The sequence below is a fragment of the Homo sapiens genome, chromosome 12, assembly GCF_000001405.40.
Source record: "Homo sapiens chromosome 12, GRCh38.p14 Primary Assembly".
Classification (NCBI taxonomy): Eukaryota; Metazoa; Chordata; class Mammalia; order Primates; family Hominidae; genus Homo; species Homo sapiens.
Window position 1 is genome coordinate 46,177,761 of NC_000012.12, and position 14,673 is coordinate 46,192,433.

At 39.5% G+C, this 14,673-nt stretch overlaps 1 protein-coding gene across 16 annotated transcripts in view, besides 1 other annotated feature; it reads right to left on the bottom strand.

Annotated features, from left to right (window-relative positions):
• Positions 428 to 557: an enhancer, noted in NCBI's record as "active region_6237". NCBI's record gives its function as "activates an Ori minimal core promoter by ATAC-STARR-seq in GM12878 lymphoblastoid cells {active_cell/tissue: GM12878}" and the evidence as "EXISTENCE:reporter gene assay evidence [ECO:0000049][PMID:35858748]".
• Positions 5,303 to 14,673, bottom strand: part of SLC38A1 (solute carrier family 38 member 1) — an 85,981-nt gene continuing 76,610 nt past the window's right edge. For all 16 annotated transcript variants that reach the window (NM_001077484.2, XM_047429588.1, XM_047429598.1 and 13 more), the window contains one exon: positions 5,303 to 11,311. In NM_001077484.2, coding sequence (NP_001070952.1) covers positions 11,210 to 11,311 — 102 coding nt within the window. In that variant the 3' untranslated portion in view covers positions 5,303 to 11,209. The remainder of the gene's footprint in view (positions 11,312 to 14,673) is intronic.

Consider the following 14,673-nt stretch of genomic DNA (forward strand, 5'->3'; position numbering starts at 1 on the left):
TCTACAGCTTATTTTTTTCCTTCTTAGTGATTTTTAGAAGCTCTTGATTTATTAAGGAAATTAGCCTTATGCTACGTAGCCAAGGGCTGCTTAGGGAAACTTTAAGAAGCTTCTAGGTGCTTCTTTGTGAAGACAATTAGCCACTTTTAAACAAGAGAAAAGTCGAATGGCCCTTAAATTCTGAATAGCAGCCAAATTTTCTTGAAAAGGGGATTTTTAAAAAAGGAGCCAATCAGGCAAGCACCACTCCAAAGGAAGGATGTGACAGTGTTTCTGTGGTTTAACCTGAGTGCCCCAAGTCAGACATTTCTGCACCAAAAATTATTGAGTCAGGCAAAGTTGCAGAGGCACCAGGACAGCTCCTGGGAAAATAATATTGTCTCCTACTCAATTTTTTCCCTTTTGGGTTTTGCTACTTTTCATACTTCACTTGTGGATTAAGATAATCGTGGAAGGAGCAAGAAACAGTAAGAGTTCTACAGAGGAACTCACCATGAGGACATCAGGAGTAGAACCTGGAATCAGTATCAAGTTTCAACTCCCATGCGTTGGGGGAAAGTGAGAGGGTTGGGGGAAAGTGAGAGGGTTGGTTTTAACACAATGTACAGCTGTAAACAAAAGGCCCCCCTGAGCCAGACAGGGTGGAGGGTATGGATTGGGAGTGAGCTGGTGGCAAACTGAGGAGCCATTCCTTGCTTGGGCTCCGAAAGTGACAGCTACCATAGCACTGTGTGGATTGGGGTCAACCTTCCTCTGCTGCTTCAGCCCTCCTCAAGTTGTGGACCTATGAGGACATGATTGCAGCAGCAGACACAGATGTAACAGATTACACAGGGCCGGTGTTCAACAAGGACATCATGTGGCAGTGGCGGAAATGAATGAGGTGGGAAGGAAGCCTGCTGTGAAGCCTACATTCACCAGTTCTCTCTTTGCCTGGAGTTTGGAAGCAGACACCTCTGGGTTCTTGCACCATTTGGAAGTGGGAAAGAAAGAGGTGTTAGGCATCCTGGAAATTTGGCCAGGGGAATATTTTGAATAATTTGAACCTCAAACTGAAGAGGCAGGTCCCATCCATTGCAACATATGAGTGGCAAATATTAGTTTTGTATCCCATTTGGATTTTCAGATTTTTTTACATGTTAGCACTATTGTATGTCATACAGAGTTTTAAAATATTTACTGATCAATTACTTCCTCTGTGGCTCCTATGTTTTGTAACAAGAGAGATCTTCTGCACTCCAAGGTATTATCTATATAAGATATAGATATATATATTGCAAGAGAAAAATTGCAAAGGACTTTGAAATGGGCAAAACAGATTATTAGGTGACCTTTCAGTGGAATACCACGTGGTCCTTCAAGGTTATCGGTAAGGATACCTAAGATATAATGGATAACTATTAGTTACTGAGGTAAATTAACTACAACTTTTGGTCTTATTATCAAATAGGTTTCTGCTTCCTGAAACTAACCTTAGTCTCTGCTATTAACTACAAGCCAAAATTTGGTTCTTCAGCAAAGAAAGAGCCTCAGAGTCTCATGGAAGAAGATTGCACCAAGTACTTTAAACTATCGAAGTCTATTCAAAGAATAGACTCTTGGGTACAAACCCTGAGCTGATGGTATTTAGACAATTTTCAGTCTGTACCTGTGTAATGAGTATGAATTTACAGGAGTCTTTTCAATGCAGAAGCACATAGCTTTCTGAATGCAGAAATGCCAATCCAAAATTCAGCAAAACACAATTACAAAGGACAGAATGAGCTGATGAGGAAAATTTTCACTGTGGTTGTATTGATGTTGTTTTAAGGCTGTATTTGCTGGATATATAAGGAAGACATTTCTCTTTCTTCTTAGGCTATCTTCAGTCTACAACAATTCAGTAGACTCTGCTTTTGTAAAATAAAACTAAACATTTTCTTCCTGCTTTTCACTGAACTCTCCCCCACCCCGAGTTTAAACACTGTGACTGAGTTACCTTTTTGACAGCAATGTAGTTATTTGCATAGGTTCAACAAGAGTCTTTTTCTTTCCCGGTGCATAACTGGACAAAATTGAATGTCACCATGGCCTTACTTGGAAGATCATATGTGAGGATGATGGTCATTTAACAGGTATGTCAAACAACTCCAAGGAACAAAGGTTAATTTTATTTCTGTAGCCAATGCCTACAAAACCCTGGCTTAGTACCAACCTTCTAGGGTTGTAACCTAGAGCCTAGTACCTAAACTGGTCTATAGGATCCTATTATGATGGGTGGTGACAAAGAGCACTTCCTGGCAGGCCATGAACCTTAGTAAATTTAAGCGACCTCAAGTAGAAAGGAATTCATCCAAATCTATAGATGGTATAGGTGAATACGGTGGAGTCTCTCGGGCTTGCTTTCCTAGCCCTGAGCTAGCAAATGATGGAGACTTTTTCCCCCTCAACCCATAGAGACTTTTAAAAGTGCAGTTCTGTGGCTCCAGTAGCTGTTCAATAGTACATAGCTCTAGAATTGCAAACCAAATTCAAGGAAGCTTATGTGGTTAATTAACACCCTTGCCGCACCCATGCAAATAATCAGGCCAAGGCTAATGGGACCATTCTTTTTATGACCAAGAATAATCTTTGAGATTTTTATAGTCACAAAGGGGAAGTTGTTACGGAAACTGGAAAGACTTTAAAAGAAGCAAAAAAGATTACTGGGTGGGTGTACTTTCAACGAAATATTATATGCTGCTTCTGGGTTATCTGATTCTATAAGAGTTTTGCCTCGCACCCCCTTTTTTTGTTTTTTGAGCTACTTTATAACCCTCTAAATTGTAGAAAACTGAGAGATGGAAATGATTATTGTCCAGACATACAAAATAATTCTGTCTGATTAAGATGCAATTAATTAGATGACGAGTTAGTGGGTGCAGCGCACCAGCATGTCACATGTATACATATGTAACTAACCTGCACATTGTGCACATGTACCCTAAAACTTAAAGTACATTAAAAAAAAAGATGCAATTAATTTCCCCCTGTGGACAGGCCAGTTTTGCATCTATTAGCAAATTCATTTTAGAATTCCTGATTGCTGATATATGTATCTGTTCTTTGAGTTCTCCTTTGGACCAATTTTTAAACATATTACTTGTTCCTTAATTAATAAGCTAACTAAATTTTTTGACACATACTTTATTTAAGTCATGGTTTCATGCTTATAAAAATAGATATATTTACACATGTGTTATTTAAAGTCTTTAATATATCTAAGTTCTCTTTAGACATAAGGGGTAATATAGAAATCTGGTTTCATTTTCTTCAAAAACTATGTATTTTTTCCTATCATTTATTAAGTAACCTTTATTTTTCCCCATTGATTTGAAAGGCCACCTTTCTGGTATTTTTTGGATCATTTATGCATTCACTATTATGATCTATTTATTTATTTGTACCCAGTTCAATTCTAAGTGCTATGGCTTTATATAATTTGGGTAATTTGTCAGGTTATTTTGGTGGTGTACTGACTCTCCCAATGAGCAGATTATTCTACCAACTTGGATTAGCCTAACATGTAAACTAATAAAAGATTTTTAAAAATTGATATTCAAAAATTGGCCTAGTTATTTGGGCCTCATCCACCCTTTCCAAACTAGGTAGAACACAATTATAAATCTAGAAAGTAAGAAAACAGGACATCTGAGTTGCAAAGTTATCATTAAGCCCCGTGATGGTTAATATTAGGTGTCAACTTGATTGGACTGAAGGATGCCTAGATAGCTGGTAAAGTATTGTTTCTGGGTGCATCTGCAAGGGGGTTGCCAGAGGAGATTGACATTTGAGTCAGTGGACTGGGAGAGGAAGACCCATCCTCAATGGGGGTGGGCACCATCCAATAAGCTGCCAGCATGGCTAGAACAAAGCAGGTGGAAGAAGACGGGCTAAGCTGGCTTGCTGAGTCTTCTGGTGTTCATCTTTCTCCCATGCTGGGTGCTTCCTTCTATTCCTCCTGCCTTTGGACATCAGACTCTAGGTTCTTTGGCTTTTGGACTCTGGGACTTACACCAGGGGTTTGTTGGGGGCTCTCTGGCCTTTGGCCACAGACTGAAGGCTGCACTGTCAGCTTACCTACTTTTGAGGCTTTTGGACTCGGACTGAGCCACTACTGGCTTCTTTCTTCCCCAGTTTGCAGACGGCCTATTGTGAGACTTCGCCTTGTGATCATGTGAGCCAACTCTCCCTAATAAACTCTCTTTCATATATACATATATCCTATTAATTCTGTCCCTCTGGAGAGCCCTAATACAAGCCCATAGTTAATTCCATGGGAAAGGCAGAGAATAGCTCTTCCCTGACAATTCTGTGTAAAAAAGGACGGAATGGAACAGTATTAGCAAATACTCATGGAGGGAGAGTAGAAGGAAGAAGCCAGAACTATCAAAGGCACTGCAGGACTGGCCCTTTCAATTTGGAACAAAATCTGCTCAGATTCTCAATAGTCTTTTAACTTTTACCACTGCTTGAGTTTAAAAGTGCTAATTACTCACTCACACCCTTTGCCCTTGGGGTTTTGATCAATTAAGAAGTAGGCATAGGAAGCATGTAAGGATAAAAATATCAGCTTTATTCCTAACGAAGTTATATTGGAGAACATGACTTGGACTCCCGTACCCCAGGTTTCTACTTTGAGTTTTGCGTGTGTGCCACCGAGGCCCTACAGAATGCACTGCTGTCACCTGGGTAGGCCAGAAGAGTTCATCAAGGGGGTCTTCATTCCCAGCCACACCGTAAAAGACCCAGGCTATTCCTGTGCTAGCCCTGTCCACAAGAAGAACTTGGATATCAGACTTTGGCCATCTTGCTGGTCTGGTAAAGCCTTTCTAAGATGCTGGAGAGGAGTTGGTGATGGATAAAAAGACAAGGCTGCACTAGCTTTGACCCAATAGTTACTGAGAAATGAAGTGTTGATAGAATTTCTTCTTTTATAGGTGGCAGCAATGTGGGTAGAGGAAGACTCAACTCCTTCCTACAACACAGGGCAGAAATTAATACTTATAAAGGTAAACTTGACTTAAAAAAGAAAATATTATGGTGAATCTACTCTGATTATGAAGAATGGAGAAATGTGGTATATGTTTCAGACCAGATAGATTTCTATCAGAAGTATTTTTAAAAATATTTACGTTAGGGTGCTTAAATATATAACCTTCTATGATCTAGAACACTGACAAATATGTATAACCCTTCTCCAGCAATCCTGAATAGTGTATATAGTACACAACTGCCCCATTTTAGTATTGCATTGCAAAAGAACAAACACAACATTTTTAAATACTTTTAGTTCACATTTTTTAATGTTTAAAAACTATGTTAACAGAGCAGTTATAGAACAGAACTTCTTATATTTCTTTATTTACACCACACTCTGAAAAAAAAAACCCAGTTCTATTTGATTAACTATGAATAGCAAAGTTTTGTGACTTGTGACTCACTTAAATCACCCATCTGAAATTCATTTACAAGGTTTTTACATTAATAAAACAGTAGTGTGGTACATGTATTGGACTCAGATGAAGTCTAAAGTACACTGGACTCTAGAGAGTGGATTACATACCAACGACCAAGATTCAAGTGTTTGGGGAAAAAAATACCTTAGACAGTCTATGTTGGCGTCAACACTAAAATAAAAGGCAAACATGCAGGACTTTCAAAGCTTGATTAGATAATGGTTCTTTGTTTTCTTTCCTTCAAATTTGTGCTCATAATTAATATTCAGGTTCCCTCTCCCCGCTTTCATAGATCCCAAAGTTTGAGAAATGCAGCAATTCAATTGTGAAAAAAACATTCTTCTCCCCAGCTTCTGTTTTCATATGTACTGTGTAGTGGTATCAGTGTTAAAAATGGAAGATCATTATGAAGAAACAATTTGTCATTTGGGTATATCTGTTTCTATAGGACAAGGATTTGTGTCTAAATATTCCTTACTTGTATCTCAGAGGACTATCTGTTAAATAATTGATCTTAATGCCAGCATAAGAAATCAAGGGAACTATTTCTCAGACATTTCTTTCTCTAAATTAAGTAGGGTTTCAGGTTCCAAGTTTACATTGAGAGAACTATGTTACCTGGGAGAGAATGTAAATTTTTCTAATTCCCAAACAAAACCACTAATTTCTAGGAAACATTTATTGTTTATATGCAGATCCTAGAGACTTCTATTTCAGTGCAGATCAACAACTTCAAAAATATACAGCCTCCTATTTATTTACAATAATATTTACATACAAATGAAGTATTTCCTGCAATAAGCCTCAGCTGCATAGATTCTTCCTTTAAAAACGTAAATTTGAGCCTGTATACAGATGGGCCCAGTTTCATAGCCCTTCCTTAGATAAAAGCCTAAAGAAGGAAAATGTCTGCACCTTGTGAACTTTACATATTTTGCAAGAACTTTCTCTTTGAGATTTAGTGATAGTTTTTAGTTGTTAGACACCCCACCTTCAGCTTGTACCTGAAAGCTTTATCTCGTTATAAATAATTCACTGTAATTTAGGGGAAGTATGTCCTGTTGCTAAAGGATTCTCAAACCTGCCATCCCCAAGGAAAATCATGTATTAGTATTGCTAAATGATGGTCTGTATATTCTTTGTTTTGAAGGTGGCTAGATGTTTGCTGTAAACTTGAATGGGAGAATTATATTCTTAAAGTTTACACCCCCTATAAGCCTAAAGCCATTTAAATTGATAAACTGAGAGAGACTAATAGATTTTGCTCTAAGGTATAAAATCCATTATCTGATCATATTCCTGACCTCCCCCCGACTCCAACTAAATGTGCCATAGTCCAACACTGTGCCTCACTGAATTGGAACTCAGTATTTCATTCTTTTGAGAGCAGTTTGTAGCTCCTTAAGCAGAGCAGACCTTTCAGTAGAGAATTCGCTTTAAAAGGAGGACAGGATTATCACCACACGATTAACACAAACACTGGAGAACTTCTGACACAAATTCAGTATTTCTTCTAAGTCTGCATTTACAAAGGGTCTTTTATTTTAATTTCTTTCACAACTGCCTCGCCCCAACCAAAGCCTCACTTTCATTTCCTCACAGCTTTAAAAAATAAAATATTATCATGCCTCAGCCCGAGGTAACACCGAGTGCAGGCAGCCTGTGTTTAGGAATTTGCACCTGCGCTGCTATTTTCAACGAGAAGGGGATAACCAGGTGGCAGCGCTGGATTCACTCACTTTCTTGCCATTGCAGAGACCCCTGCCGCCAGGCTCCTTTCCTCCCCTCCCTAAAGCCTGGCTCCTGTATGTTGCACCATGAGTCCTAGGAATCATCTGGTGAGGGAGGACTAATGGGAAGTAAAAGGGAGACTCATTGGCTTAGGGTGGTTCTCAAACTTGATGCGCTTTAGAATCATTTGCTGAGTCCCTCCCTGAGAGCTTCTGACTTCACCATGTCTGGGAGGGGGCTGAGAATCTGCATTCTAATGAGGTCCCCGATGATGCTGATGCTACTGGTCTAGGGGCCACACTTTGAGAACCACTGGCTTAGAGGCATGAATCAAGCTCTAGAAAGCAGTCAGTTCCAGGGTAATAGTCTTAGGTGCTCGCCGAAGCACTGAGGAATCTTACCACAACCCTGTGTCCACCACAAGCCCTATCACCATCACCCATCTGGGTGCTTCTTTTTCTCAACAGGGTCTGTAACTGTAAAAAAGGAAAGTGGGTGGAGAGGTTTTTTTTTCCCCCTTTTTTCTTGTTTTCTAACCTCCCAGCTTATTCCTGGAGAGTTAAAACACAGTTACTAGCACTAAAAACATTAAAAGTGCTGCGCGCTGGCCTCAATGACTGGTACATTGGAGAAGCTATGCAGCAGCATCCTTTTCTGTGGTGGGCAGGGCAGGAGATGAACCATAGGAGCCAAAAGTCAGACAAACAGAAGAAGGCACACCAAGCCTGAACCCTCCGGACAACAGCAGAGTTACCAGCTGAGGGATGTCCCTGGAGGTTTCTGACCCATGAGAGGCCCCCTCACCCTCCTTCACCCTCCTCCTACCACCAAGCTCTCCAGCAGTCATGGACTTATTCCTCCCCGTTTTTACTGGACACCATGTTTCAGGCCAATCTGGTCACCTGTAGTCTGGTGGCATCTCTACCCCTACTGTCCAGTAGGTGGGATGTGGCTGGGATGGACAGTCCAGATTCTACTAACAGGCAACTCTGAACAAACACCCTCCCTGGAAACAATATTATATTTGATGGTTAGATTCTTTAGCAAACCTATTACATTATTCGATGTCAGCTAACCTATTGGTTTGATCATCTTTTCCAGCTGCTCTAGGGGCCTAACCACCATGGATAACCTGGTCTCTAAAGGAAAATACATTCCAGGTTGCAAACAACCAACTGACAACCTTTTGGAATATGATCTCCTTATACACTGGGGCTGCCTGTGCCTAAACACAGTAGATTTCCCTCCTGTGCGTATTTCATCAGCCCCACTTCCAATAAGTAACATTAAGTAAATTAGGGATTGACAGTATTCTGTGTTACAATAACTAGAGAACAGTTCTAAGTCCAAAGTGTGGAACTGGCACTGTTCACTAGTATAGAGATCCTACCTACCAAAGGAAAACGTGCTGCTCCCCATGCCTAGGGTATAGTATTCTTTAATCTACTAATTTAGCAGAAAAACTTCCATAGCACTTGACTGTGCTGTTTAAATTCGACCTAACATCTGTGATACATGTATTTTTGGCTACCAATTAACTATTCTGAATAAGAATAAGAGCAGTATACTTTACAGCTAATCTCACACAAAGGATGTAACTAATCAGTGATATTTGACGAATTATGGTAGGGTCTATTATATTCAGTCAACAACAAATTTAGAGAAACATACAAAGGTTTTTAAAAATATGGGTGGTGTCACACAGATCAACAACACTGTGCCTCCTCTAAATAAATCTATTTTAAATAAATATTCCTTGTATTGACACATGAAACCCAGAGGCCCAAAAATATCACTACACATCCCAGTTAATGATAAGGTTCTAAATTGACTTTGTGAGGGTAAAATGAATTGCTATAAAGTAACAAGGAAAATAGAAAGTAGCATAATATAGCTTGCAAACTAAATTATGTATTTTTAAAGGTACAGTCATCCCACTACCTGGCTATTTCATTACTTGGTGCTCTAGACAAGCTCCCAAGAACTGACTGGATCTTGGCTTGTTCTGTTTCTGTCATTGCTAATATAATATGGAAAACATTGCTGAAAAGAACAGAGATGGCCATGGATATGGCTAGGTTAGGTATTCATATCCAAATATCTGAACTCTAACCTAATGTGGATATGATTCTGTAGCATTATATTAAAAGCTATGATGATGCAATGCAGGAAATAACCTTTCATTCTCCCCCCTAGAGGATCACGACAGGTGCTTCAATGCCTGCCTTATCTATGGGACAGTAGTGTGATTCTCAGTGAGAGTGAAGGCCTTTGGGGATTTGAGTCAGGAAGGGAACATGGCTAAGTGCCTGGAAACTCTGCCAACAGTCTGCGGTTAGATTCTACTTGTCTCTGGATAAGAAATCTGTGCTCAGTGAACTTATGTGTTTGGAAAATTTAACCAGAATATAGAGGAAGCATAAGTCCTGTTTCAAGAGACCAGCTCACGGAGCATGCACATTTCTCACCATAGGCAAGCTATGGACAATTCAATCACATGGGATGGCCCCACTTAGGGGAATGCAGTTCTGGGTTTCCTTGCTATCCCTATTCTTTTTCAGCTACAAACTCTCTTCTTTTTCAGTCTCTTCAGTTTCCTTGTGCTCCCTTTAGGAGAGGGACAAGGGTAAGAGTACCAGGCAACTCTGTCCTCCTGCATGGACAGTTGAGACGGGCAGTAATGGCACAGTCCTTGGTTGGGGAAGAGAAGAGGAGACAGCACAGACACTGAGACCCCCTTGTCTTCCTCATCTGGGGGAAGGAAGGTACTCAGTGATTCTGTCAGAAGCTCTTCACAAAGACTATCTCTGAGGGTTTTTTTTTTTTTTTTTTCACAAGACTAGATGGAGAATTAATGAAGAAGAAATAGAAATGAGGCTTATTTAAGGTACAAAATTCTTGTATTTGTAATAACCTAGATTTATAGATATAAAACAAGTCTTTTAAAGACTTCCCTAAAATACTCAATATAAAACAGGAGTTACTTATCCTAGATCATCCTTAGTTAGGTACACATGATTCTCTGTGCAACTAGCTGGTGGACATGAATAAAAGCTGCTGGGCCTATAATGTACTAAAACATTTTTCTCCCTTCAGCAAGACAGGTAGGGTTGAAGGCTAAATGCATCAGAGGAGTATTTTCTTAGGCATTTTGGACAATCTTTTTGCAGTAGGTTCCATAGGTTTTCCCCAGCGAAAGTTGACTCAGACCAGAGTAACTCTGACACAAGTTGCCAAGAGGGAAAAAATACTTCATTTGCTAGATTACCCAAATGTGTAGCTTCATTTAATTACCAAGGTAAGAATCATCCCCAACCACTTTTCAGCTGAGAACACTTGCCAGAGAATGTCTCTGGATGGGAATAGATGTGGTACCAGCTAGGCCACTGGACTACCCGAGTTCAGCTGCCAGGAAATCAGAGCCACCTCAAATATTGGGCATGCTCTGATTCAGCAGTGGCAGTGCCCTATAACTTTCAGATGATTATCTCCATGTGCTATGTTAACCAAAATAGGCAAATTATTTACGAAACCATTTTTTTCTGTAAAGCAAAATAAATATATACAATTCAAGATTCTTTTCTCTTCTAAAAAGGTACAGATAGTGTGAGCTGAACATCAGTAGGAAAATTATTTCAGAATCTGGATGTATAATAAATAAACATTATTGTATATCATGTTTTCAAAGTTCTAAGAGACCGGGAAGCCACAAAACATAGAGTTAGATGGGTAAAAAATGATTGTGAAAAGTACTGGGAAATATGATTGTATGAAATTTGAAAAAAAAATTTCACAATCCCTAAATTGATCTCAAATCTTGGAGGGACATGAAGCATTATAGAACCATGTCTCTGTTTTGCAACCAAAAAGTTATTCCATTTTAAGTATCCTGTACATTTCTGTTTGCTTCTGTAAACTTGCAAAAGAAGTGGTGAGAGATTGCTGATGTGTGGGGACTTGACTGAGCAGACAACAGGGATGTTTCTTTTTCTCGGCGGGTTTCAGTGGCCTTCGTCACTACTCGATGAGCAGGCCCAGTCATAGATGACCAAGGGAATGCTGACCAAGGAGAACAACACCCCCAGGCCCAAGAAAAGGGCAGCCTGGAGCAAGAGAAAGGCAAGGGTTATTTTCAGTGCAGCAAAATTTTTCCACATGTACCTGGGGAAAAAAAATAGAACAGTTTTTCCTCTCCCTTTGTGTCCTCTGGTATTCAGAGTTTGTCACAACCATGGCTGAACTGTGAGAATCTTTCTAAAATTTTATGAATCTGATTCTGCAAGGATGGGAAAATAGGAAAAAAAAAAAACTAGCTAAGCAGAGTAGTCCTCTATGTCCCATTCTTTGACTTCATGGTCACCTCAAGTGTATGTATCCATTCTACAAATAACTGGGTATCCTTATGGCTTCTCTCAAACTAAGATTACAACCAAGGGGGAATAAAGGCCTTAGAAAATATCCAGGTCATTTTGTTATTCATTACCTACCAACTTAGCTTATCACTGGCAAGCAAACATTTCTGTTTGAAAAAGTGGAAAAAAAACATACAAAAGCAAAATAGATTTGATTAAGTGAAATAGGAAACAGGTGTCAAAAACTAAGTTACCTGAAGGGCTGATGAAGGCCATAGGTGGACAGATGATGATATGGTTTGGCTGTGTCCCTACCCAAATCTCATCTTGAATTTTAGCTCCCATAATTCCCACGTGTCATGGGAGTTACCTGGTAGGAGGTAATTGAATCCTGGGGGCGGGTCTTTCCCATGCTGTGCTTGTGATAGTGAATAAATCTCATGAGATCTGGTGGTTTTATAAAGGGGAGTTACCCTGCACATGCGCTCTGCCTGCCACCATGTAAGACGTGACTTTGCTCCTTGTTTGCCCTCCGCTATGATTGTGAGGCCTCCCCAGTCATGTGGAATTGTGAGTCAATTAAACCTCTTTCCTTTATAAATTACCCTGTCTCAGGTATTTTTTTTTATTATTATACTTTAAGTTCTAGGGTACATGTGCACAATGTGTAGGTTTGTTACATAGGTATACATGTGCCATGTTGGTTTGCTGCACCCATCAACTTGTAATTTATATTAGGTATTTCTCGTAATGCTATCCCTCCCCGGGCCCCCCACCCCACGACAGGCCCTGGTGTGTGATATTCTCTGTCCTGTGTCCATGTGTTCTCATTGTTCAACTCCCACCTATGAGTGAAAACATGCAGTGTTTGGTTTTTTGTCCTTGTGATAGTTTGCTTAAAATGATGGTTTCTAGCTTCATCCATGTCCCTGCAAAGGACATGAACTGATCCTTCTTTTATGGCTGCATACGATTCCATGGTGTACATGTGCCACATTTTCTTAATCCAGTCTATCATTGATGGACATTTGGGGTTCCAAGTCTTCACTATTGTGAATAGTGCCACAATAAACATACATGTGCATGTGTCTTTATAGTAGCATGATTTATAATCCTTTGGGTATATACCCAGTAATGGGATTGCTGGGTCAAATGGTATTTCTAGTTCTGGATCCTTGAGGAATCGCCACACTGTCTTCCACAATGGTTGAACTAATTTACACTCCCACCAACAGTGTAAAAGTGTTCCTATTTCTCCACATCCTCTCCAGCGTCTGTTGTCTTCTGACTTTTTAATGATCGCCATTTTAACTGGTGTGAGATGGTATCTCATTGTGGTTTTGATTTGCATTTCTCTGATGACCAGTGATGATGAGCATTTTTTCATGTGTCTGTTGACTGCATAAATGTCTTCTTTTGAGAAGTGTCTGTTCATATCCTTTGCCCACTTTTTGATGGGGTTGCTTTTTTCTTGTAAATTTGTTTGAGTTCTTAGTAGATTCTGGATATTAGCCCTTTGTCAGATGGGTAGACTGCAAAGATTTTCTCCCATTCTGTAGGTTGCCTATTCACTCTGATGGTAGTTTCTTTTGCTGTGCAGAAGCTCTTTAGTTGAATTAGATCCCATTTGTCTATTTTGGCTTTTGTTGCCATTGCTTTTTGTGTTTTAATCATGAAGTCTTTGCCCATATCTATGTCCTGAATGGTATTGCCTAGGTTTTCTTCTAGGGTTGTTATGGTGTTAGGTCTTACCTTTAAGTCTTTAACCCATCTTGAGTTAATTTTTGTATATGGTGTAAGGAAGGGATTCAGTTTCAGCTTTCTACATATGGCTAGCCAGTTTTCTCAGCACCATTTATTAAATAGGGAATCCTTTCCCCATTTCTTGTTTTTGTCAGGTTTGTCAAAGATCAGATGGTTGTAGATGTGTGGTGTTAATTCTGAGGCCTCTGTTCTGTTCCATTGGTCCATATTATCTGTTTTGGTACCAGTACCATGCTGTTTTCGTTACTGTAGCCTTGTAGTACAGTTTGAAGTCAGGTAGCATGATGCCTCCAGCTTGTTCTTTTTGCATAGGATTGTCTTGACTATGTGAGCTCTTTTTTGGTTCCATATGAATTTTAAAGTAGTTTTTTCCAATTATGTGAAGAAAGTCAGTGGTAGATTGATGGGGATAGCATTGAATCTATAAATTACCTTGGGCAGTATGGCCATTTTCATGATATTAATTCTTCCTATCCATGAGCGTGGAATGTTCTTCCATTTGTTTCTGTCCTCTTTTATTTCGTTGAGCAGTGGTTTGTAGTTCTCCTTGAAGAGGTCCTTCACATCCCTTGTAAGTCGGCTTCCTAGGTATTTTATTCTCTTCAGAGTAAATGTGAATGGGATTTCACTCATGATCGGCTGTTTGTCTATTATTGGTGTATAGGAATGGTTGTGATTTTTGCACATTGATTTTGTATCCTGAGACTTTGCTGAAGTTCCTTATCAGCTTAAGGAGATTTTGGGCTGAGACAATGGGGTTTTCTAAATATACAATCAGGGATCATCTGCAAACAGAGACAATTTGACTTCCTCCTCTCCTAATTGAATACCATTTTCATTCTTTCTTGTGCCTGATTGCCCTAGCCAGAACTTCCAACACTATGTTGAATAGGAGTGGTGAAAGAGGGCATCCTTGTCTTGTGCCAGTTTTCAAAGGGAATGCTTTCAGTTTTTGCCCATTCAGTATGATATTGGCTGTGGGTTTGTCATAAATAGCTCTTTATTATTTTGAGATATGTTCCATCAATACCTAGTTTATTGAGAGTTTTTAGCATGAAGCACTGTTGAATTTTGTCAAAGGCCTTTTCTGCATCTATTGAGATAATCATGTGGTTTTTGTCATTGGTTCTGTTTATGTGATGGATTACATTTATTGATTTGCATATGTTGAAGCAGCCTTGCATCCCAGGGATGAAGCTGACTTGATCATAGTGGATAAGCTTTTTGATGTGCTGCTGGATTTGGTTTGCCAGTATTTTACTGAGGATTTTCAAATCAATGTTCCTCAGGGATATTGGCCTAAAATTCTCTTTTTTTGTTGTGTCTCCACCAGGCTTTGATAACAGGAT